Here is a 24,483-nt window from a genome sequence, read left to right as displayed (position 1 = left end):
TAATTTTGGAGGAATACTTACTATTTGTTGGGCATCAAAGATGCTAGATGGAGGGTTGAAAAGCTATAGGTTCTAACTAGCTGTGCAATACTGGAAAATCACAGTCTTTCTGAGCTATAGTTGGTCTGTGAAATGTAGTGGTTAAATTTAGGGCCTCTCAGTCCTCTTGCAGTCCCAAAGTTCTGGGTCAATGCAGTTTTTATTTCAGAAGCTCTTGTCCTTATCTGCTTTGTCTTCGAGGAGTCACTAGAGGTGCCCCAAATGGACTTGCAAGGGTCCTGTTCATTTCCACAGGTGGGAACCACGTAGAATCCTATGTTACTTTCCTTCTCTGCTCTGCCCACTATTTTGCCCACTGCTGTTCCCTGTGGGGTGCCTGGAGAGCTGGTTTTGTGGGGTCTAAAGTCTATTACCCATCATTACCACCACAGCCATTGGGCATTATGGGACATTAACATCCTCAGGATGCCAAAGCTCTTTTAGGGATTGTACGCTGTAGTGTTGGAACCTGAAGCAGGGTTGCCAAGCTCTGCCAAAGACCATTTGCTCAGAGGCACATTTGAGATGCTGTGACAACTTTCAGGGGCACCACTGAAATTCTTGATGACTTGTCAGTCTCTTCTCTATTTCCGCCCAGAACACCACGGGCTGCCTAAACACCCAAGTCCCACAAAATATAGGACTGGTCTAATGTGTCCCTGGAAACTATTGAGACAAACCCATTATCTGAGAAGCCAGGACGAGTTATAATTAGAAGCCTGATGAGTCAGAGCTCATGGGCACTAGCTCAGAAGCCCTCACTCATAAGATGACACATCAGCTTGACGTCCGCTGGAGCTCATCCTGGGCGTCAGAATTCAGCCTCGTACAAGGATGGAAGGAATCGGCTGGAGAGGTGGGAGAGTCGCTGAGCACAAGGACAGGCCTGCTGGGCCCAGCCTCTCGCCAGGAACACAGAGCATCTCACACAGGAAGCCCAGGCAAACTGATACAAAATTTCACTAGAAAAAAAAAAATTCCTTTTACCACACACAATTTCTCTTTAATTTTTCTTAAGGTGCTGCAGTTGCTAATTTAAGCCTTTCACATAATTTCCCAATATTGACTTAAATTTATGATCTTTACCACACATCCTCCCCAGCCTGGTGGATTCAGAAAGAGTAAGGGGGTTAAAATCCTATCTCCATTACCTACTGGCTTTGTGACTATGATAAATCCTGTCAAATTTTCCAAACCTTAGTCCCCTTATTTATAAAATGGGTTTTTTATGAGGATGAAAAAATAATAATACATGCAAAGCACCTGGCATACGATCTGCACAATTCATGATCAATAAATGTCAGTTTCCTTCCTTCCTGGTAGAAGTCATCAGATGGTACTAACTCTAGGTTTTCTGTCTGACACAGAACACACCCTTCAAAGTGCTAATGCTGTTCCAGCTCAGCAGACACCTCGTCTCGGGAAAGCCATTAGAAACCCCCAAAATACTACATTTTTCTCCTGGTAAGTAGCTCACTTCCCACAACCACTTTGCATAAAGTGAGCTCAACAAATGAGTCACGCTGCTTGCAGAAGCAAATTCGGGAACCACACCCAAAACAGAGGCATCTTGACTTTTCCCAAGAAGCTGTCATTATCACCAGAAAGAGGGTTTGGGGGACCTATAGTTAGAAAACCTCAAACTCCCAAGCTACCTCTGAATTCATGTGCAAACCTAAGAGCTCATTTTTTTTTCAAGGATTTTTTTTTTTATCCACAGCATTCAGTGACAGCTGAGAGTCACTGGCCATTTATGATTATTTACTTTTTGAAAACTTCTATCATAGCATTTAAATTATAATTATGATTTTCAAGAAAAATTTCAAGAATTTATTCATTGCATAAAAATAGACACAATTTCATTTAGACCAACCCTTTCTGACCTGCAGGCTGCAGGATAAAGTAGACAGTGCATGGGATTATAGTCAGAAGACCAGGATCCAAGTGATGGTTTTGCCACTTACTGAATGATTTAGGGCAAGCTTCTGAGACTCAGAGGTTTATCCATAAAGTGGAAAGAACTATATATATTGTATGATTCAGAAATAATGAAATATATGAAAGTACATGGAAAACTTAATGCAATACAAAACGTTAGATTTTTTTAAAAAGTAATCTTTAATCCTTTATATTTACCCAATAGTCCTGGTACTAATTTTTTTGAATTAATTTTGTTGGCTCATTTCTGCATCCTTCTAAATTAATGTATATATTTTAAAGCTATTGGCTTTCAAAATGAATGGAAAACTCTGCATTCATGATTGATTGGCTAGAATAAAGACTGTTAAATAGTTTTGAATGATTATATGTCTAAAAATTTTGTTTTCCAATGTGAGATACCTTGTTTGCCAAAATGTCCACATTGTTCCCTTCTCAGTACAGAGCTCTTTTTAATGCTACTGTGCAACTCTTCCCCATTCTTTGAATCTGGGCTGGTTTGTGACCTGCTTAGGCCACTATAATGGCACAAAATTGACGCTGTGACAGTTCTGAGTCTTGGCATCAAGGGGCTGTGCACTTCCAATCTTACTCTCAGAATCTTGCCAATGCCACATGGATGAGTCTGGGCTAGCTTCTGGTTGATGAGAAACATATAACCTCATTACCAGAGACTTTAAACCCACTCAATAAATAGCTAATAGCCATACATGTGAGTGAGGCCATCTCAGATCAGGCAGCACCAGGTTGACCTATCAGCTGAGCACAAACACATGACTGAGCCCAGCCAAGATCAACTGGGTCAGACCCTAAGAATCAGCACCATCCCCTCATTTGTGAGTAATGATTGTTTAAGCTACTATATATTTTTTTTTAACACAGCAACAGATTGACTGATATACAAGGTTTCTATATCATTAAAAAATGAACTCCTCATAACATGCCAGACTAAGGTAACAGAAATGGGGTCCCTCCCTTTATAAACCTAAAGAAATGCTGGCTGAAATACATGGCCAAGTTCAAGAGACATAAAGGAAATCTCCAACGGCAAAATAAAGAGAACTCAAACATACTATATGGCAGTAAGCAAAAGCGGATATTGTCGCCTGTGGGCACATAACTTTGCACATGGTTATAGGCATTAGTGACTGGGGGACAAAGTTTTTTTTATTGTTATTATACTTTAAGTTCTGGGTTACATGTGCAGAACGTGCAGTTTTGTTACATAGGTATACACGTGCCATGGTGGTTTGCTGCACTCATCAACCCATCACCTACGTTAGGTATTTCTCCTAATGTTAAACCTCCCCTACCCCCCCACGCCCCACAGGCCCCTGTATGTGATGTCCCCCTCCCTGTGTCCATGTGTTCTCATTGTTCAACTCCCACTTATGAGTGAGAACACGCAGTGTTTGGTTTTCTGATCTTGTGATAATTTGCTGAGAATGATGGTTTCCAGCTGCATCCATGTCCTTGCAAAGGACATGAACTCACCCTTTTTTATGGCTGCATAGTATTCCATGGTGCATATGTGCCACATTTTCTTAATCCAGTCTATTATTGATGGACATTTAGGTTGGTTCCAAGTCTTTGCTATTGTGAATAGTGCCACAATGAACGTACGTGTGCATGTGTCTTTACAGTAGCATGATTTATAACCCTTTGGGTATATGCCCAGTAATGGAAGTGCTGGGTCAAATGGTATTTCTAGTTCTAGATCCATGAGGTATCGCCACTCTGTCTTCCACAATGGCTGAACTAATTTACACTCCCACCAACAGTGTAAAAGCATTCCTATTTTTCCACAACCTCTCCAGCATCTGCTGTTGCCTGACTTTTTAATGATCGCCATTCTAACTGGTGTGAGATTGTATGTCATTGTGGTTTTGATTTGCATTTCTCTAATGACTATTGAGGATGAGCATTTTTTCATATGCCTGTTGGCTGCATAAATGTCTTCTTTTGAGAAGTGTCTGTTCATATCCTTTGCCCATTTTTTGATGGGGTTGTTTGCGTTTTTCTTGTAACTTTGTTTTTAGTTCTTTGTAGATTCTGGATATTAGACCTTTGTCAGATGGATAGATTGCAAAAATTTTCTCCCACTCTGTAGGTTGCCTGTTCACTCTGATGATAGTTTCTTTTGCTGTGCAGAAGCTCTTTAGTTTAATCATTTATCAATTTTGGCTTTTGTTGCCATTGCTTTCAGTGTTTTAGACATAAAGTCTTTGCCCATGCCTATGTCCTGAATGATATTGCCCAGGTTTTCTTCCAGGATTTTTATGGTCCTAGGTCTTATGTTTAAGTCTTTGATCCATCTTGAATTGATTTTTGTATAAGGTGTAAGGAAGGGGTCCAGTTTCAGTTTTCTGCATATGGCTAGCCAGTTTTCCCAACACCATTTATTAAATAGGGAATCTTTTCCCCATTGCTTGCGTGTCTTAGGTTTGTCAAAGATCAGATGGTCGTAGATGTGTGGTGTTATTTCTGAGGTCTCCGTTCTGTTCCATTGGTCTATATAGCTGTTTTGGCACCAGTACCATGCTGTTTTGGCACCAGTACCATGCTGTTTTGATTATTGTAGCCTTGTAGTAATGTTTGAAGTCAGATAGCGTGATGCCTCCAGCTTTGTTCTTCTTGCCCAGGATTGTCTTGGCTATGCAGGCTCTTTTTTTGTTCCATATGAAGTTTAAAGTAGTTTTTTCCAATTCTGTGAAGAAAGTCAGTGGTAGCTTGATGGGGATAGCATTGAATCTATAAATTACTTTGGGCAGTAATGCCATTTTCATGATACTGATTTTTCTATCCATGAGTATGGAATGCAAGAACAAACAAACAAAACCTTTCTAATGTCAAAGCATTTTCCCTTTCATATCTTTCTTTAATGGTATATTTGCAGCTGTTTCCTGTTAATCCTTTGTCTGTCTGACTTCCTTCTTTAGGGTGATGGGATCCTTAAGACAAGCACAGAGTATGTCCTGCTGTGGTGTCCTGCAGGACAGGCCACACTCTGGCCCATTAACGGTGTTTGATGTGACGATGCACATGAGCCCATGGAGGTCTGTGCCTCAGGCCCCGTGGGTGTTTGCAGGTTGAAGATGGAATGATACACGCCATCTCTGAGATTTTTATTTGCTCAGACCTTCCCCTGTTCTGGCCCAAACCCACTTAATTCTGTCTAATAAGTGGTGGTGGGTTTTGGGGGGCCTAGTTTGTTTGTGTCCTCTCTTATTTCCTTGAGCATTGGTTTGTAGTTCTCCTTGAAGAGGTCCTTCACATCCCTTGTAAGTTGTATTCCTAGGTATTTTATTCTCTTAGTAGCAATTTTGAATGGGAGTTCACTCATGATTTTGTTCTCTGTTTGTCTGTTATTGGTATATAGGAATGCTTGTGATTTTTGCACATTGATTTTGTATCTTGAGACTTTGCTGAAGTTGCTTCTCAGCTTAAGGAGATTTTGGGCTGAGACGATGGGGTTTCCTAAGTATACAATCATGTCATCTGCAAACAGAGACAATCTGACTTCCTCTCTTCCTATTTGAATACGCTTTATTGCTTTCTCTTGCCTGATTTCCCTGGCCAGAACTTCCAATACTATGTTGAATAGGAGTGGTGAGAGAGGGCATCATTGTCTTGTGCCAGTTTTCAAAGGGAATGCTTCCAGTTTTTGCCCATTCAGTATGATATTGGCTGTGGGTTTGTCATAAATAGCTCTTATTATGTCGAGATACGTTCCTTCGATACCTAGTTTATTGAGAGTTTTCAGCATGAAAGGCTGTTGAATTTTGTCGAAGGCCTTTTCTGCATCTATTGAGATAATCATGTGGTTTTTGTCATTGGTTCTATTTATGTGATGGATTATATTTATTGATTTGCGTTATGTCGAGCCAGCCTTGCATCCCAGGGATGAAGCCAACTTGATTGTGGTGAATAAGCTTTTTGATGTGCTGCTGGATTCGGTTTGCCAGTATTTTATTGAGGATTTTCGCATTGATGTTCATCAGGGATATTGGCCTAAAATTCTTTTCTTGTTGTGCCTCTACCAGGCTTTGGTATCAGAATGATGCTGGCCTCACAAAATGAGTAAAGGAGGATTCCCTCTTTTTCAATTGATTGGAATAGTTTCAGAAGGAATGGTACCAGCTCCTCTTTGTACCTCTGGTAGAATTCAGCTGTGAATCTGTCTGGTCCTGGACGTTTTTTGGTTGGTAGGCTATTAATTATTGCCTTAATTTCAGAACCTGTTATTGGTCTATTCAGTGATTCAACTTCTTCCTGGTTTAGTCTTGGGAGGGTGTATGTGTTCAGAAATTTATCCATTTCTTCTAGATTTTCTAGTTTATTTGTGTAGAGGTGTTTATAGTATTCTCTGATGGTGGTTTGTGTTTCTGTGGGATCGGTGGTGATATCCCCTTTATCATTTTTTATTGCATCTATTTGATTCTTCTCTCTTTTCTTCTTTATTAGTCTTGCTAGCAGTCTATCAATTTTGTTGATCATTTCAAAAAACCATCTCCTGGATTCATTGATTTTTTGAAGGGATTTTTGTGTCTCTATCTCGTTCAGTTCTGCTGTGATCTTAGTTATTTCTTGTCTTCTGCTAGCTTTTGAATTTGTTTGCTCTTGCTTCTTTAGTTCTTTCAATTGTGACGTTAGGGTGTCGATTTTAGATCTTTCCTGCTTTCTCTTGTGGGCATCTAGTGCTATAAATTTCCCTCTACACACTGCTTTAGCTGTGTCCCAGAGATTCTGGTATGTTGTGTCTTTGTTCTTATTGGTTTCAAAGAACATCTTTATTTCTGCCTTCATTTCGTCATTTACCCAGTAGTCTTTCAGGAGCAGGTTGTTCAATTTCCATGTAGTTGTGTGGTTTTGAGTGAGCTTCTTAATCCTGAGTTCTAATTTGATTGCACTGTGGTCTGAGAGACAGGTTGTTGTGATTTCTGTCCTTTTACATTTGCTGAGGAGTGTTTTACTTCCAATTATGTGGCCAATTTTAGAGAAAGTGCAACGTGGTGCTGAGAAGAATGTATGTTCTGTTGATTTGGGGTGGAGAGTTCTGTAGATGTCTATTAGGTCTGCTTGATCCAGAACTGAGTTCTAGTCTTGGATATCCTTGTTAATTTTCTGTCTCATTGATATGTCTAATATTGACAGTGGGGTGTTAAAGTCTTCCATTATTATTCTGTGGGAGTATAAGTCTCTTTGTAGGTCTCTAAGAACTAGCTTTATCAATCTGGGTGCTCCTGTATTGGGTGCATATATATTTAGGATAGTTAACTCTTCTTGTTGAATTGATCCCTTTACCATTATGTAATGGCCTTCTTTGTCTCTTTTGATCTTTGTTGCTTTAAAGTCTGTTTTATCAGAGACCAGGATTGAAACCTCTCCTTTTTTGCTTTCCATTTGCTTAGTGGGTAGATCTTCCTCCATCCCTTTATTTTGAGCCTATTTGTGTCTTTGCAAGTGAGATGGGTCTCTTGAATACAGCACAGCAATGAGTCTTGACTCTTTATCCAGTTTGCCAGTCTGTGTCTTTTAATTGGGGCATTTAGGCCATTTACATTTAAGGTTAATATTGTTATATGTGAATTTGATCCTGTCATTATGATGCTAGCAGGTTATTTCGCCCATTAATTAATGTAGTTTCTTCATAGCATCGATGGTCTTTACAATTTGGCATGTTTTTGCAGTGGTTGGTACTAGTTTTTCCTATCCACGTTTAGTGCTTCCTTCAGGAGCTCTGTAAGGCAGGCCTGGTGGTGACAAAATCTCTCAGCGTTTGCTTGTCTGTAAAGGATTTTATTTCTCCTTCACTTATGAAGCTTAGTTTGGCTGGATATGATATTCTGGGTTGAAAATTCTTTTCTTTAAGAATGTTGAATAGGGGCCCCCACTCTCTTCTGGTTTGTAGGGTTTCTGCAGAGAGATTTGCTGTTAGTCTGATGGGCCTCCCTTTGTGTGTAACGCAGCCTTTGTCTCTGGTTGCCCTTAACATTTTTTTCCTTCATTTCAACCTTGATGAATCTAAAAATTATATGTCTTGGGGTTGTTCTTCTTGAGGAGTATCTTTGTGGTGTTCTCTCTATTTCCTGAATTTGAACGTTGGCCTGCCTTTCTAGATTGGGGAAGTTCTCCTGGATAATATCCTGAAGAGTGTTTTCTAACTTGGATCCATTCTCCCCGTCACTTTCAGGTACACCAGTCAAACATAGATTTGGTCTTTTTCCATAGTCCCACATTTCTTGGAGGCTTTGTTCATTTCTTTTCACTCTTTTTTCTCTAATCTTGTCTTCTCACTTTATTTCATTAATTTGATCTTCAATCACAGATATCCTTTCTTCCACTTGACTGAATCAGCTATTGAAGCTTGTGTATGCTTTACGAAGTTCTCATGCCATGGTTTTCAGCTCCATCAGGTCATTTAAGCTCTTCTCTACACTGGTTATTCTAGTTAGCCATTCATCTAACCTTTTTTCAAGGTTTTTAAGCTTCCTTGCAACGGGTTAGAATATGCTCCTTTAGCTGGGAGAAGTGTATTATTACCAACCTTCTGAAACCTAATTCTGTCAACTCGTCAAACTCATTCTCTGTCCAGTTTTGTTCCCTTGCTGGTGAGGAGTTGTGTTCCTTTGGAGGAGAAGAGGCCTTCTGGTTTTTGGTGTTTTCAGCCTTTCTGTTCTGTTTTCTCCCCATCTTTGTGGTTTTATCTACCTTTGGTCTTTTTGGAGACCTATGGAAGGGGTTTTAGTGTGGATGTCCTTTTTGTTGATGTTGATGCTATTCCTTTCTCTTTGTTAGTTTTCCTTCTAACAGACAGGCCCCTCAGCTGCAGGTCTGTTGGAGTTTGCTGGAGTTCCACTCCAAATCCTGTTTGCCTGGGTCTCACCAGTGGAGGCTGCAGAACAGCAAATATTGCTGTCTGATCCTTCCTCTGGAAGCTTCGTCCCAGAGGGGCACCTGTCAGTATGAGGAGTCTGTCAGCCCCTACTGGGAGGTGTCTCCCAGGCAGGCTACAAGGGAGTCAGGGACCCACTTGAGGAGGCAGTTTGTCTGTTATCGGAGCTTGAATGCCATGCTGGGAGAACCACTGCTCTCTTCAGGGCTGTCAAGCAGGGACGTTTAAGCCTGCAGAAGCTGCCTGCTGCCTTTTGTTCAGATATGCCCTGCCCCCAGAGGTGGAATCTAGAGAGGCAGTAGGCCTTGTTGAGCTATGGTGGGCTCTGCCTAGTTCGAGCTTCCCAGCTGCTTTGTTTACACTGTGAGCATAGAACCACCTACTCAAGCCTCAGCAATGGCAGATGCCTCTCCCTCCACCAAGCTCCCGCATCTCAGGTCGATCTCAGACTGCTGTGCTAGCAGCGAGCAAGGCTCTGTGGGCATGGGACTTACCAAACCAGGCACGGGAAGGGATCTCCTGGTCTGCTGGTTGGGAAGACTGGGAAAAGCGCAGTATTTGGGCGAGAGTGTACCACTCCTCCAGGTACAGTTACTCATGGCTTCCCTTGGCTAGGAAAGGGAAATCCCCCAACCCCCTGCACTTCCCAGGTGAGCTGACGCCCTGCCCTCCTCACTCTCCATGGGCTGCACCCACTGTCCAACCAGTCCCAATGAGATGAACCAGGTTCCTCAGTTGGAAATGCAGAAATCGTCTGTCTTCTGCGTCGATCTCCCTGGGAGCTGTAGACCACAGCTGTTCCTATTCGGCCACCTTGGAACTCGTCCCTTGCGGGGCAAAGTTTTAATGCACACACGGCAGAACGATGATGGCCAGGCTCGCATAGGGGGCCTGCTGCTTCTGGCACTACCACTAACCACACAGTTTTGTTCAAATCAAACAACTGTTGTAAACTCTTTCAAGGAACTCCTCCCAGAATAGCACTGCAGCCCCAAATCCAGCTCACACCACTACCAAGGCAGGCGGCACAGCTGCCGGTCACAGCTTGTCCACATGATCTCCTGCTCCTTCTACTTCTCTAACTGTTAAACAGAAACTCAGACCAAGAAACTTCAGTACTCCCCTATCCTCTAAACTCAATCCAAATGGCTTCTAGAAGTCCAGTGCGGCCAGGAAAAAGCAGGTCTTCATCAAATTTTATACCATACCTTATTTTATTAATACAGAAAATGTTGAGAATCCTTAGTTTGATTGGAAAACATGTAAAGGTTTGACCAGATGATAAATGCCAATATTAAATCTGCTGGAATTCCGTGTACAGAATGAAGAGACAATACCAAAATTAGTTAAAGACATAATTTCTTTAACTGTGGCTTAAGAAACAATGAACGCTTAAAACCCTACCTTATGAATAAGAATAGATTTTATCTTATCTAGTGATAAAGAATGAGATGTGGAGTGGAGGTTCAGTTTTATTTGGTTTATTAAATCTGTAAGACCACAGAAGAGGCAATATAAAAAGCTTCCATGATTCTATTTATATGTACATTAGAAGGAATTTCCAGATGTTACTGTAAATCCTCAATATATTGTTTCAGCAGTACTAATTTAATGTCAGTATACTTTAGTTTTACATTAAATTATCACTGTTCTCTTGGGAATTGGATTCTTTTTTTTTTTCTCTGAGGCTTTGGATTTGACATTGTATTTGACTTTATATGTGGTAATTGACATGTGTCAGGACAATGATGAATTGGAAGCTACCCCAAACTCACACATCATAGGTAACTGTTGCTTATAGACTTTTAAAGCCAAATGGTAGACATTTCCCATTGCTTGCTCCCATCTAACAAAAGCGATAGGTTCATTGAGCTATAAAATTGTACTTATAGTTGGTTAAAAAAAGATGTAAGCCATCATTTTGTACAAACAAGCTACAACATTCTACTAATAAAAACAGAAGCTCTGTTTGTCAAAATTTACACACACACAACAACTAAACTATCAATTTTTTTCCACAAGGCTAATGTTGAATTAGAAAAAAATCTTGACATAATCATATGAGATTTACCTCTTCACTGCCCATAATCAATCAGATATTAGAAATTTTTAAACCTTTGAATTGTTTTGGAAATCAACCTAAGTGTCCTATAATGTACTGAACTTTTATTTATTTACTTATTTTAAAATGAGAACTCTAAATTCAATTTAATTTAAAATCAGTTGGAAACCTTTAATTAAAGTATACAATAAATGGAAAGTTCCCAAAGTGTAGCTCTTGAAGATTTTGGAGAACTGCCATTAATAGAAACAAAGCTAGTAAACAAGAAGACACTGAAATATATTCTTATTTGCGAGGCTGAGGCAGGCAGATCATCTGAGGTTGGGAGTTTGAGACCAGCCCAGTCAACATGGTGAAACCTCGTCTCTACTAAAAATACAAAAATCAGCCAGGCATGGTGGTGGGTGCCTGTAGTCCCAGCTACTTGGGAGGCTGAGGCAGGAGAATCACTTGAACCCAGGAGGTGGAGGTTGCAGTGAGCCTAGATCATACCACTGCATTGCAGCCTGGGCGACAGAGCCAGACTCCATCTAAAAAAAAAAAAAAAAAAGTATTCATATTAAATCAAAGTGTTTCTAAACACATAAAATAGTGATCAAATAGTATATGAGATTTTATTAGGAAAATTAGTCATTGAGCTTCAAGTATCTTGACATCTAGGAAGAATATTTTGATGGGCTTCTATTGTTAATTAATTAGATAAATTAGTACTCTGTGCTGGAATAAAGTAAAATTCAGAAAACCTACCATTTTTCAGCATCTAAATTTGATAAAGCACTTAAAACAGAGACAACCTTTTTGCTAAATTTTGTTTTTAAAAATATTTGTGGGGGAGGCGAGGATAGTTAATGTGTACAAAAAAACAAAGAATGAACAAGACCTACTGTTTGAGAGCACAATAGAATGACACTAGTCAATAATAACTTAATTGTACACTTTAAAATAACTTAAAGAGTGTAACTGGATTGTCTATAAAATTGAATTGGATTGAGGGGATGGATTGAGGGGATCATTCTCCATGATGTACACGCTTATTTCACATTGCATGCCTGTATCAAAGTATCTGATGTACCCTGTAAATATATATACCAACTATGTACCCAAAAACATTTAAAAAATTGTCAAAACAGTTACTCTAAGTGGAACAGTATCTGCGAAATATTTAGTTTTATCAATACCAAATACAGAATTGAGAATATTCTCCATCCAGCATAAACTGCCCTGATCTTACCAGTTACCTCAGCATCTGTAAAACTGGATATTTTCTCAATTGAAAAACATACTTTTTGCTACAAAGAAGAGTCAATTGATATATCAATAATTTTAAATTTATTAGTTATAGATTATAACTTTGAAGATCTCAGGAACTTTATTTTTTAAAAAACCACAAAACATTAAAACATACTAAAAAATAGAATCTTCAGAAAAATATTAATGACTCAGTACTAGAGCTAAAAATGGCTCAGAATGAATAGGTGAAGAAAAAAAGATTTTTAGGACAGTGAAACTACTCTGTATGCGTAGATACATGTCATAGTGTATACACGTTATTATACATTTGTCCAAATCCATAGAATGTATAACACCAAGGGTGAATCCTAATGCAAACTATGGACTTTGGGGATAATGATATGTAAATTATTTTGATCAGTTGCAACAAATCCATCATTCTGGTGGGGGATGGTGCCAATGGCGGAGACAATGCCATATGTAGGAGCAGGGGGGATACGGGAAATCTCTACCTTCCACTCAATTTTTCTGTGAACCTAAAACTGCTCTTTTAAAAATCTGCTAAAAAATATTAAAGCATAAAAAAGTGCTAAAGTTATGACCTAATAAATGAATTTGCAGAAATGCAAGCGAGAAAAATTTTATGATCAATCAAGATACCACATTAATAAAGTACTTCTACTTTTTGTATTGTATAAAATTCAGACACTAAAAATAACATTTCTGTAGGTTTATTTTGTTACTTACGTATCACAATTACACATATTACATTTTATAAGTAGTAAAATTTTTTAAAGAAAAAAATAACTAAGAAAGTGATTACAAAACAAGAATAATTTCTGATTATATTATTTTAATGGTCATATAGCCAATATATAGGCGTTTAAATTTTATTACATTAATGTACAAGGATATATAATTTGGCTTATTAGAAATTATTTTTGAAAATATTTTAATACGATAGTTTTTGTCATTACACTAATATAACAAAATCTTTCTCATTTGACAAATATTTCAAAAATATATAACAAATTATTTTAGCATTCCTTCTCCTCTCAAAAGCATGCTGTCACTCTGTTTTTGAAGACAGTTAAAAGAATTCCATTTCTGAACACTGTTAAGAAAAGTGGGGGAGTCCCAGCAGAGTTTTGGGCAAAGGCAATGGAATAAACATGGCATTTCTGAAAAGAGACACTTGCAAAGGCCCAACACTCGCAAAGCATACCAGGCATAATGTAAATAGGAAAAAGAAACTATTCCGTTGATTCAGTTCATTTGTAAAAGGAGTTTTCCCAAGGTAGATCACAAACAAACCAGTCCATGTGAATCACTTGCAGAGCTTTGAACCCTGAACCCAGCATTCTGAGAGTGGGAACCAGAAATGTGCATTTGAAAAGACTCCCCAGGCAATTCTGATGAGGAGCCAGTGAGCCTGCTGAACCAGGTGACTACTGACATCTCTTCTTTGAGTGACTTTCGACCATCCCACAAATGTCTGCTCGACGGTGTCCTGGAAGAGCTGGGTCATGGCTCTCATTACACACTACTCAGCATCATACACCAGGTTGTATCACACATCTCATTCACACTACTGAGCATCATACACCAGGCTGTATCACACTTTGTCCGGACTTCATGAGTCTTCCAGTACAGTGATGGGACGTAGGTTTTCTAGACTTGCCTATGGGCTTCTCCTCTTTCCTAATGAAGCTTCCACTCATCCAAACGTCCTTTGAGGAGGAAATTTATCCAACTCACTCCACTGCAAAAGCTGGAGAACTGACAAGATTCTTCCTGACCACTTCAGTGGCTATGATTATAGGCAGTATTGTGGTTTTCATTTGCAAAATGAGGAATAAAGCTGCAGACATTTCCAGTACTAGAAATGGTCTGTTTGTAGCATGAAGGTGCATATTCATTTCTTTTTCTTTTTTCCTGACCCTTAATCATTTATTACATTTTTCTCCTGTTAAACAAGCTATATAGGCTGAATACAAAGAAGTTTGAAAACACAGAAAGGTAAAAAAATTAAATTAAATTAAGATCATCTGAAATGTTAACTTCAAGAGAAAGTTAACAACTGTGAGCATTCTGGTTTGTATATTCTTGCAGTCTTATTTAATTAATTGCATTTATGTACTTTAAAAAAAGTAGAATTATATTGTATATATGGCTTTGATTTCTTAAAAATTAACATTGTGAACATGTGCAAGGAGTGTTTCTTAAATTGCTCTTTCCATTGTCACTTTTACTGGAGATTAAAGTCTCAAAGTACATTTTTTGACTTAGCAGAGGGAGAGCTGAGATGTCTCATTAAAGCTTGGCCGAGCGCCTTCTGTTACTGCTTATTTACATAAGTAGCTTTCCTAAAATCAACGGCTCCCATGAACAAGACATATATATTAATGCCTCACAGTCCAATATATGATGAGATAAATGACCACTGCTTCCTTATATAATGCGCACACACTTGCCTGAGACAAGTCAGCTGTTCTGAAACACAAGATTAGGAAATTCAATTTCATGTATACATTTCCATGAATCAAAAGTCAAAATCAAAGGACAACCTTCTGTGTTACAGTGAACTCTGGAAGTAAGTGTAAATAAGATAATAAGATATGCCCTACTTTGTTGTCATCTTTTTTTTTTTTTTTGCTTTTTGTTTTTTGTTTGTTTTGAGATGGAGTCTCACTCCGTCACCCAGGCTGGAGTGAAGTGGTGCAATCTCGGCCCACTGCAACCTCCACCTCCTGGGTTCAAGCAATTCTCATGCCTCAGCCTCCCAAGTAGCTGTGATTACAGGCGTGTGCCACCACGCCTAGCTAATTTTTTGTATTTTTACTAGAGACAGGGTTTCACCATGTTGGCCAGGCTGGTCTTGAACTCTTAACCTCAGGTGATCTGCCTGCTTCAGCCTCCCAAAGTGCTGAGATTACAGGTGTGAGCCACTACACCTGGCCAGCTATGCCCCACTTTGAACAAACATTGCTAGAATCTGGAAGAATCTTCTGTTAGCCAAGGATTGCTTTTGAGGTTCACTCCAAAAACTGAGCTACCACCGGGGACAAATGGTCTCATAATTTTGAGTGTGTAAAGTGCAGCGATTCCAGCTCATGAGCACTAATATAATTTTGGAAACAATATACCCACAACAGGCATCGTCTAGAAAACTAACAGGATCTCTTTTCCACTAGAGTGTATTGTTGTTGACTAAGTGTTTTCAGTTATTAAGCTGGAAGAGACATGCTGGGGAGAATGCTTTGGAGGAACAAGTAAGCACAGAACACAGAGAATCAGGTAACTTATTATTTCTCACCTTTCTCTTTCCTTTGTAGATAATTAGCAAACATTCCTTTCTCCACCTTATCTCTTTGTTGAGGTCATATCAGCAATTATCTGCCCTCTGGTTTATGCAAAACTACCTGAATAAGTCATAATTCAGAAGAGCTTATCAACTTTCTTCCATGTCCCGTTGCCCAAAAATAATCAGCAATGAAATATCTCAAACATACAGAAAAATAGAAGTAAACAAAACCACCTAGATTTATGAGCAGTTCACTCTCTATCTACATGCTTAATATATTTTTAATAAAGTCTTCAGTCATCACTGCCACATTTACAAGAATACTTGGCCTTTTGGCTTGTCTTCTGAACATATTTTTGCATGTAAGCCTTTTACATATTTCTCTGAAGTGGTTCGAAATCCATCAGCTCGATGGTCTTTATTGTTTCAATATGGCCCAATCCACAGGGCAGAGCATATGACTGGTGTGGTGGTTGCTGCGTGGCTTTGAAGTCACACGGATTTGAGTTCCAGTCCCTGCCTACTAGCTGAGCAAATGTGGTCAAGGGTCTGTGACTGAAATTCTCATTGATAAAGCAGGGATAATAATACCTACCTTGTTGTCGAGATGTCATGAGGTGATGTAAGCAAAGCATCAGAACAGTACCTAGCACATAGTAAGTGGTTATCATCAGCTTGTGTGTCTGCTGTATATGCTGAACTGCTTGAGTCCATCTCCAATTGAAGCTGTATTTACCAGGATCCACTCAACCACTACCTTGATCATTAACACCTCCTTATTTGTGGACTCATGAATACAAGGCACTTGCATCTGCGGGGCTTCAAACTTAGCCCAGTGAAATGGCAGTCTTTTTTAGTTTTCTAAACACCTGGAGGTGACTTTTTCCCTGCCTCTGACTTTAAAAACATAATGAAATTTTACAGAGTTTTATAGCACTGAACTTTATGTAAAATCAAAAGAGCCCGTGAAATAAGAGAGCAATTGGTTGTAAGCAAGCCCCTTCATGAACATGGGCATTTTTTTTTTAACGTCTTTGTATCTGTGAGCATCTCCTTCTCTTCCTATCCTTAAGTGTATTATTTGTCATGAAAGCAAAGTGCTTTTAAAAAATTGTGTTTGATTCCATGGTTCCCAACAATGGCTGGACTTCAAACTCACCTGTGGTGCTTAAGATTATATATCTGTATACTTTTGTTTAAAATGAATATTATAAAAATTTATGTTTAAAAATATGTGTGTATATACATACATAGTTACATACACCCAAGGCACATATGTGCATGTGTATACATAACATATACACATACATACATACACGCACACCACCACCAAAGCCCCACTAAAAAAATACTGGAATCTCTGGGAGTAATGGGGGCAAATAGGAGGAGTTAATGTTCAGGTAAGGCTATTATGGACCCATTGTTGAGAATCACAGTGGGTTAATTACTTGAAACAGTACCTATCTAAAGGACAGTTAAAGATTTTGGTATTAACCAGAAAGTCTTTTTTTTTTTTTTCTTAAATAATTTTGCAGGCAAGATGCTGCTGTTACAAGTTTTCTGTTCTGAATTATGTCTTCCATAGGAATGAAGCATCCACACAGTCCATCCAAGCATACTGTGAATCAAAACACATGTCATAGCTGGAACGAAAGCATTAGGACCATCTAACTGGATTCCACTGGAATGAGTCTCTGTGAAACCATGCCGAAGTCTTTGTAAACAACCACCCTAAAGAAAGCTACATGAAGAATAGCCAATAACAAAAGCACTGGATTTAACTCAATTTTGTGAAAAAACAAAAAAAACAAATATGATGCACACACTCTATCCTTTTGTGAACAAAATGCCACCAAACATTTGAAACTGGCCTAAGCATACATTGACATGTTTGACATGAAGCCCAGCCTTATTGATCAGCCTTTCCAATACCCCCCGCCCCCCATTCTTTATTCCCAATAGATACATCTTCTCACAGGTAATTGGGCAGAAAAATGCTTATTGACTGATCTTGAAAACTTCAATGCATCTAAAGCTGGAGAACATTCAAAAACCATGCTTCTCTTTATTTATTTCAGTTTCCATGGCAAGAGGAAAATAAAAGGCAACTGTTTTGAAAGCAACAACAGTAAACGAAGCAACATCTCTGGCAAGCAGGCAAACCTTAAAGAGTAAAAGTTATAAATCCCCATGTAGACAATACCTTGTAGGTATACCTTCCCCCAACCACGGGGATGACTCTTAATGGTGCTGACTAGGTATAGACACCAACTTGGGACCAGTAAGTTATTCTTAGAAGGTGCTAACTTTTGTATTTTCTTTTAGGTTCTTGCTGCTATGTTTCTCTTTCAATTGACTTCCAGAAATCAGACAGTGAAATCAATGGGGCTTTCCAGGCCACTGAATTCAAAGTAATCAGGGCAGGGTCAGAATGCTGATTGACTGTTTTCAACACACAGGGACCTGGAATTTGGGTTCTAGCTCTATCCCTCAGCACAGAGTCAGCAGACACAATGCCCTAGATGGTTGGATTTTCTAGTGTCTGTGACAGGCATCTTCAAAGCTGATTCCTCTCCCTCTGAGAAATCAAGGCCACCACCTTTAACTACTGACACAGTAGTGTACTTCCCGTACTGCAACCTCAGTCCCTTTTGTCACTTTTGCTTTGCATTCAAGTGCCTTGGCCAGTGTTAACTGCAGCACTTTGATTTCTCTTTCTATAAAGACTATCAAGTACCAAGTCATTTGTTTCTGCAACCATGTAACCCAAGGACATATTCTCCTGGATGAAATTCCAAGACCCCCCCCGCCACCAGAAGTCAGTGGAGAATAGGCACAGAAAAGATGATGAAGGTCATAGTTTCTAATAATTTGTTTTCTTTTTAAAAAAAATTTTTAATTTTTATTTTTTTGAGACAGAATCTCACTCCGTCACCCAGGCTGGGGTATGGTGGCATGATCTCGGCTCACAGCAACCTCTGCCTTCCAGGTTTAAGTGATTCTCCTGCCTCAGCCTCCTGAGTAGCTGGGATTACAGCCGCATGCCACCACGCCCAGCTAATCGTTTGTATTTTTAGTAGACACGGGGTTTCACCATGTTGGCCAGACTGGTCTCGAACTCCTGACCTCAAGCGATCTACCTGCCTTGGCCTTCCAGAGTGCTGGGATTACAGGCATGAGCCACCAAGCCCAACCAGTTTTCTTTCCTTTTTTTTTTTTTTTTTTTTTTTTTTTTCCTTTTTAAGGGAGGGGATTCCCTCAGTGGGTTTACTTAGAGTGAAACGGTATCTTGGCTTTGGACTTGCCCCTGCCTTCATTCATGTGGGTACTTTTTATTTAACTTTTCATTGTAGGTAGGCTCCCCTCTACCTAAAAAACCAAAGGGAAAAACCCCAATTCTTTAATTTACTCACATCCTGTTACGCTTTCACAAGCTGTTCATTTTCATACCAAGCCTCATCTTCTGCTGCCAACATCCTAGTTTGAAGGAAAGGGGGAGACAGGTCAACTGGTAGTGGTCCTGTCCTCAAAGGGAGAGAACTCCTGGGTACCTCTTTCCAGCAGCCCTAGGCTATTTCAAAATGTCAGCAGGTCTAATCCTAGAAGAAAACACCATTTACTTCTCAACCTGCTGGGGCATGGTGAGGTCTAAACAATACATTAACCAACAAAATCTGCCAGTTCCTGAGAACTGCCAGAGAACTGCCTGAGAACTCAGAGATAAACAGTAAGAGGTATGGTCAACCTTCAGGGGAATGAAGAGACTATCTCAATGCAGCAAAAATAAAGGAATTAATGTGCTCTGCAGCTTTAGAAAGGAACTCTCCTTCCTGGGGGTGCCTCCGTGTCCCTGGCTCTAGGAGACTACCTAACCAGCAAGGTTGATAGCATGACCCTGGCTCCACTGAAAACTTGGGCCTATAGACTGTCTTATTCTAAAGGGTGCTTTTTAATTCTAATTTTTTTTTAATTTTTATTTATTTTTTTTTGAGACAAGTTCTCACTCTGTTGCCCAGGATGGAGTGCAGTGATGCCATTTAGGCTCACTGCACTTTTGACCTCTCAGGTTCAAACAACTCTCTCACCTCAGCCTCCTGAGTAGTGGGGACTACAGGCATTCACCACCATGCCCGGCTAATCTTTTTTTTTTTTTTTTTTTTTTTGTAGAGACAGGTTTTTGCCATGTTGCCCAAGCTGATCTTGAACTCCTGGGCTCAAGCGATCCACTTGCCTCAGCTGGGACTATAGGTGTGAGCCACCGTGCCCACTCGAACCACTGGTCTTTTAATGTTTTCAGCTCCAGCTGGCAAACCCATTACCTGCTCTTCCTAGGCAGCATCCCTTGGTCACTATCCAGCCATCTGTTACTGCCAAAGCAAAAGTCCATGGCCCTCGAAGTGTGGGAACTCTGGCCATCGGCTACTTATCATTTTGCCCTCTGAAATCCTTATATTTCTTTCTGAATTCACACACTCAGAATTGGCAGTATATTCTTAAGCTATGAAGTCCTCCACTATATGCCCATCCCAAAAACCTAAGCGAGTAAGATTATTTAATCTAGGAAATGGTTATTTACTCTATAGAAATCTGATCTTCTCATTGCCCAATAACCATGGAATGCTGAAGAGTTGCCTCAGATGGCAGGGAGCCTGCATGCTAGCTCACACACTATCCCTAATAGCCATTTAATTTTGGGAAAAGACCCGTCTTTTCTCTGGACTTTAGTTTTCTCCTCTTTAGAAATAAGAAGCTGGTTAGCCAATCAGTCATGTCTCTTTCAGGTATATGTTCTACGCTTTGCAACTGCAAAGTTGACAATCTGAGAATGTGTGCACGCCAAAGGGGCTTAAAAAATAATATTATCTAACACTTAAGCACTTGATGTGTATTAACTCATTTAATCCTTCAATAACCATATGAGGTAGGTATTATAATTATTACCCCTATATTTTAGATGAGAAAAGAAGAAATAGAGAGAGGTTGAGTAACTTGACCCATTATCCAGTAGTTTTAAGGCTGGGGTTTGTATTTTTAACCACCATATGCAGGATAATGGGCAGATCTGAGGACTAAGCTTCCTTGACGTTTGCATGCTTAGAAGGTTACAGAGGGAGTGTGAGAATCACAGTTAATCTGCAAATCAATGGTATATACCGAAAATCAGGACAGGGGCCAGAGTGTCCTCACTGTTACCTGTTGGATTCCCTTGGCATTATTTAGTGCACAACATTACCATAGGAAAATCACAAGCACTTTTATGGCAATGGTGTAAATTAGGAGGATTCTGACAGTAAAGCCCAGAGTCATTCCAAGATAAAACGATCAGTTTGGGATCTCTTGGCCACCTACTGACCTGTCAGTGTATTGAGGCAGTTTGGGGTAGGAAGTATGTCAAATGATACTGGAGGAGGGAATACAAGAGGCCGGGCAGAGAGTGACTTATTTATTAATTATCTATTTATTTATTTTTGGTTGAGGCAGAGTCTCGCTATGTTGCCTAGGCTGGTCTCGAACTCCCACCTTGGCTCCCAAAGTGCTGGGATTACAGGTGTGAGCCACCATGCCCAGCCCCAGAGAGTGACTCTTGACTAGTTTGGAGAAATAAACTGACTTCAAGGGTCTTCAAAACACAGCCACTTGGAGGTCCTGACTGCCCTTTTCTGATCTCCAGCATGAGCCTCTGCAGAAGCAAGTGCCTTTCACTGAGTCTGACCCTAGCTGAGTGAGATCTTTGCAGAGGAAAGGACAACATGCTTATTTTTTTTAAATGGGCCCATAAGAACCCCGAAACCAAACAAGAAAATCAGGAAAGTTTCTTGTTAGTCTACTACAGACAGGTAGTGATGAGAACTTGGAATACTATCTAGATTCTGAGCTCATTGCTCTAGGGCCCAGGGTCCCAAATGGTGCCTCTTTTCAATGCTTATTTACCATAGTTTCATAGAAACATGACCAAGTGTCAGTTAGTTCTTTACCCTTCGGGTTTTTTCCATCATTAATCCTCTTGGCACAGGGTGGGGCTGAGCTGGGAACAATATCATATAACTCTAGTTGCAGCTGTCCTTATGCAAACCAGCATATCCGCAAGTTACCATGACCTTTTGGGGGAAACCAACATAACAGTGCTGGTGGACACAGCTTCAGGCTGCTAGAGGTCACTGATATGTACCATTGCAACTTGGAAGGAATTCCATATATTGATACTTTCTTTGATTCTATCAACCAAACGGCTTTGTGGGGCACATGCTATAGTACTGAATGAAATACCTTTCTTTCCCTTGAGCCAAAAGCACATAATAAGCTATAGATTCTTTGCTGCTATGCCATTGATTTACCTACTGTACTTTGTAACCCAGGAGGGCTATGAATCATCCTTCCTAATTTCAGCTTCACAAAACAGGTTGCTTTTAATACAATCTCTTCTTTATCTAGATTTATTTGTTCTGAACCCTAACACATTCTTAGGGCATTATTTCTTACTGAAGACAACTCTCCCTTAGTGTTTGTTTAATGGTAATTTTTTATTCAAGTTCTTCCTGGGTGTCCGCTTGCCCTTTAATTTTCTTTTTCACAGTGCTTTATATTCCTAGGAATACCTGAGTCACAAGTGGTCAGATTGCCAGCATTCAGCAATCCCAGGCAGGGGGCAGATTTTATTGCCTTTCTCTCTTCTCCTCCACGGGTTGCTCAACAGTGTTAACATTCTGATTTCTTTTAGGAGTGGAGCTCCAAGATAATCTCTTACCCTGCCCTTCTTACTCATTAACTTTAATTTCCAAAAAATGCCGCCGATACCATTCAAACACTAGTTCAGGAATTACCACGTGCTGGGCACTGTACTGGGTGCTGGAGATACTGAGAAGAAGAAACATGATCTGTTCTCAGGAAGCTCACAATATGGTGAATGTGATAATTAAGGTCATGATTAAACAAAGCAGGAAGTACTCCAAGAAAGGTGAGCAAGGCATTACAGGTATGCAGAGGATTGCTTGACCCAACCTGGAAGAATCCAGAAAAACTCATCCAAGGCTGGGCACAGTAGCTCATGCCTGTAATCCCAGCACTTTGGGAGGCTGAGGTGGGCGGATTGCCTGAGGTCAGGAGTTCAAGACCAGCCTGGCTAACATGGTGAAAACCCATCTCTACTAAAAATACCAAAAAATTAGCCAGTTATGTTGGCGTACGCCTGCAGTCTCAGCTACTCGGGAGGCTGAGGCAGGAGAATCGCTTGAACCCCCCGGGAGGTGGAGGTTGCACCGAGCCAAGATCATGCCATGCACTCCAGTCTGGGCAACAGAGGGAGACTCTGTCTCAAACAAAACCCATCCAAGAGCCAAGAAGAGGTTATGCTTGACCTGAACCTTAAAATACAAGTAGCTGTCATTTTGGGGGAGTCCAAACAATGGATGGGTTGATGTGGATACAGCAAAGGACATAATTAAAGAGTCATGGCCAGATCATGAAGGATTTTGTTCCTCGGGCTAAGAAATTTTAGCTTTACCTTAAAGTAGAGGAGCTACCAATTCCGAGCTACAGCGAGGAATCGTAATATAGCATTGTATCATGTATGAAAGGACAAAATTCATGCTACTTTCCTAAAAGTAAGATTCTGTGTCCCCGTTTGCTTCATCTAATATTGCTTCTTGGCCCCAGCAATAGCACACAGAGCACCGGAAAACTAGTTCAGGCTTATCACCAATTCCTGAAGCCAGTCTACCTCTCCAGGACACTTAGAGCCATGACCTTCTCCAAGCTCTCCAAGATCGCTGTGCTTGTTGCATATTCTGGTCTGCAGAAGGTGAAAGGGTACTAATCATCCTAGAAGCCTTCCTGGAACAGGATCTCTTTGCCTAGGGTCATAAAATGAGGGATCCAGATGGTACAGGGAAGTGTAAATGGCAGTTGGAGATGGGACAACAGTAAGTGCAGAGGCAGAGACACAGGTCAGCAGACCCCACATGTGACATGTCAAGTACAGGGAGTAGGGGAAGAGGTGGGAGACATGGTACAAGAAGTCAAAAGATCCACTGGTTCCCTGTATTCCATGAAAACGTTACTGTACAGAATATTACACATTTCCAAGTTGGAGACACTAAAATACAAAGGTACAAATTGTCTAAGCGCAGATATGAGGCAGTGGCAAATTAATAAAACAAATCACATGCCTGTTTCTAACCTGTTTACCATGGCCAAGAAGAGTCTGTGAAATCAAGTTAGACATTCTGTCTTTGAAATCATGCATTCACAGAACTTATGGAAGCTTTCAAGTGGAAATGTCTTTACTCTTTAAAAAAAAAAAAAAAGCTCAAGTAATGCCCTAATCATCTCTTATTATTGTTTGTATCTGCAGGATTTGGAAACTGCTCAGGAAAACAACTGGATTCCTAATAATCCCTGAACAATTCTTTTTTTTTTTCTTTTCCTGTGGACATTAGCCTTTTAATTTTTCCACAAGGAATTCTGGGCCAATTTAACTAATAAATAATAACAGAATTTTCTAAGTGCATGGTACTTTTGCTTTATCTGATTTCATGGCTTTCCTGTTCCATGACAACCCACTGTCTTTTCCCTCACATGTATGTTTTATGATGGTTTTTTCAGGCATTTGAAAAAGCTTTAACACTTTCACTCAAGCTAAGACACCTCAATTTTCATTAGTGACTTTATTGTCCAGGAGGTGTTACAGAGACTACCAAATAGTTTCAAAATTACTTGCTCAGTCACGATGCCCACAGTTGACTCTCAGCCTAGCAAAAGAGAAGAAAAGAAGTTCTTGTGTTTACTGTCCTGAACATACCCTTATGCTAGTATGCAATCTCCTCAGGTCCCCTCAATTAGGGTCACATTTCCGTTTTACAGTGATAATGCAAGAGACTCTGGGTACTGTTCAATGAATATAGGTTTAATGTAATATATGTATTTCTGCAAATATATATATATATATAAATGAGGATTTTGTAAGCACCATTTAAAATTACCTGAGGGGCATTTTCTAAGTAACTGTGAGTCTTTTTG

General features: G+C 39.9%; 1 long non-coding RNA gene across 3 annotated transcripts in view, besides 3 other annotated features; it reads left to right on the top strand.

The window, feature by feature from the left end:
- The window catches only part of LOC105376626 (uncharacterized), a 59,489-nt gene extending 35,520 nt beyond the window's left edge, over window positions 1–23,969 (top strand). Inside the window, exons 3-5 of one of the 3 annotated variants that reach the window (XR_007062653.1) lie at window positions 1,407–1,503; window positions 13,502–15,461; window positions 17,054–17,591. This is a non-coding gene — a long non-coding RNA (uncharacterized LOC105376626). Of the gene's footprint in view, window positions 1–1,406; window positions 1,504–13,501 lie in introns of all 3 variants that reach the window. The other 2 variants (XR_007062654.1, XR_001748180.2) reach the window with 2 other exon arrangements.
- Window positions 460–1,659: an enhancer, noted in NCBI's record as "MED14-independent group 3 enhancer chr11:35051560-35052759 (GRCh37/hg19 assembly coordinates)". NCBI's record gives its function as "activates an origin of replication core promoter dependent on BRD2, BRD4, P300/CBP and CDK7 cofactors, and independent of MED14, by STARR-seq in HCT116 cells {active_cell/tissue: HCT116}" and the evidence as "EXISTENCE:reporter gene assay evidence [ECO:0000049][PMID:35650434]".
- Window positions 1,378–1,497: an enhancer, noted in NCBI's record as "active region_4610". NCBI's record gives its function as "activates an Ori minimal core promoter by ATAC-STARR-seq in GM12878 lymphoblastoid cells {active_cell/tissue: GM12878}" and the evidence as "EXISTENCE:reporter gene assay evidence [ECO:0000049][PMID:35858748]".
- Window positions 17,731–17,780: an enhancer, noted in NCBI's record as "active region_4609". NCBI's record gives its function as "activates an Ori minimal core promoter by ATAC-STARR-seq in GM12878 lymphoblastoid cells {active_cell/tissue: GM12878}" and the evidence as "EXISTENCE:reporter gene assay evidence [ECO:0000049][PMID:35858748]".
- Window positions 23,970–24,483: the final 514 nt, after the last annotated feature.

The sequence above is a fragment of the Homo sapiens genome, chromosome 11, assembly GCF_000001405.40.
Source record: "Homo sapiens chromosome 11, GRCh38.p14 Primary Assembly".
Classification (NCBI taxonomy): domain Eukaryota; kingdom Metazoa; phylum Chordata; class Mammalia; order Primates; family Hominidae; genus Homo; species Homo sapiens.
The sequence above is the reverse complement of the archived record's forward strand: the minus strand, read 5'-3'. Positions and strand labels throughout refer to the sequence as shown.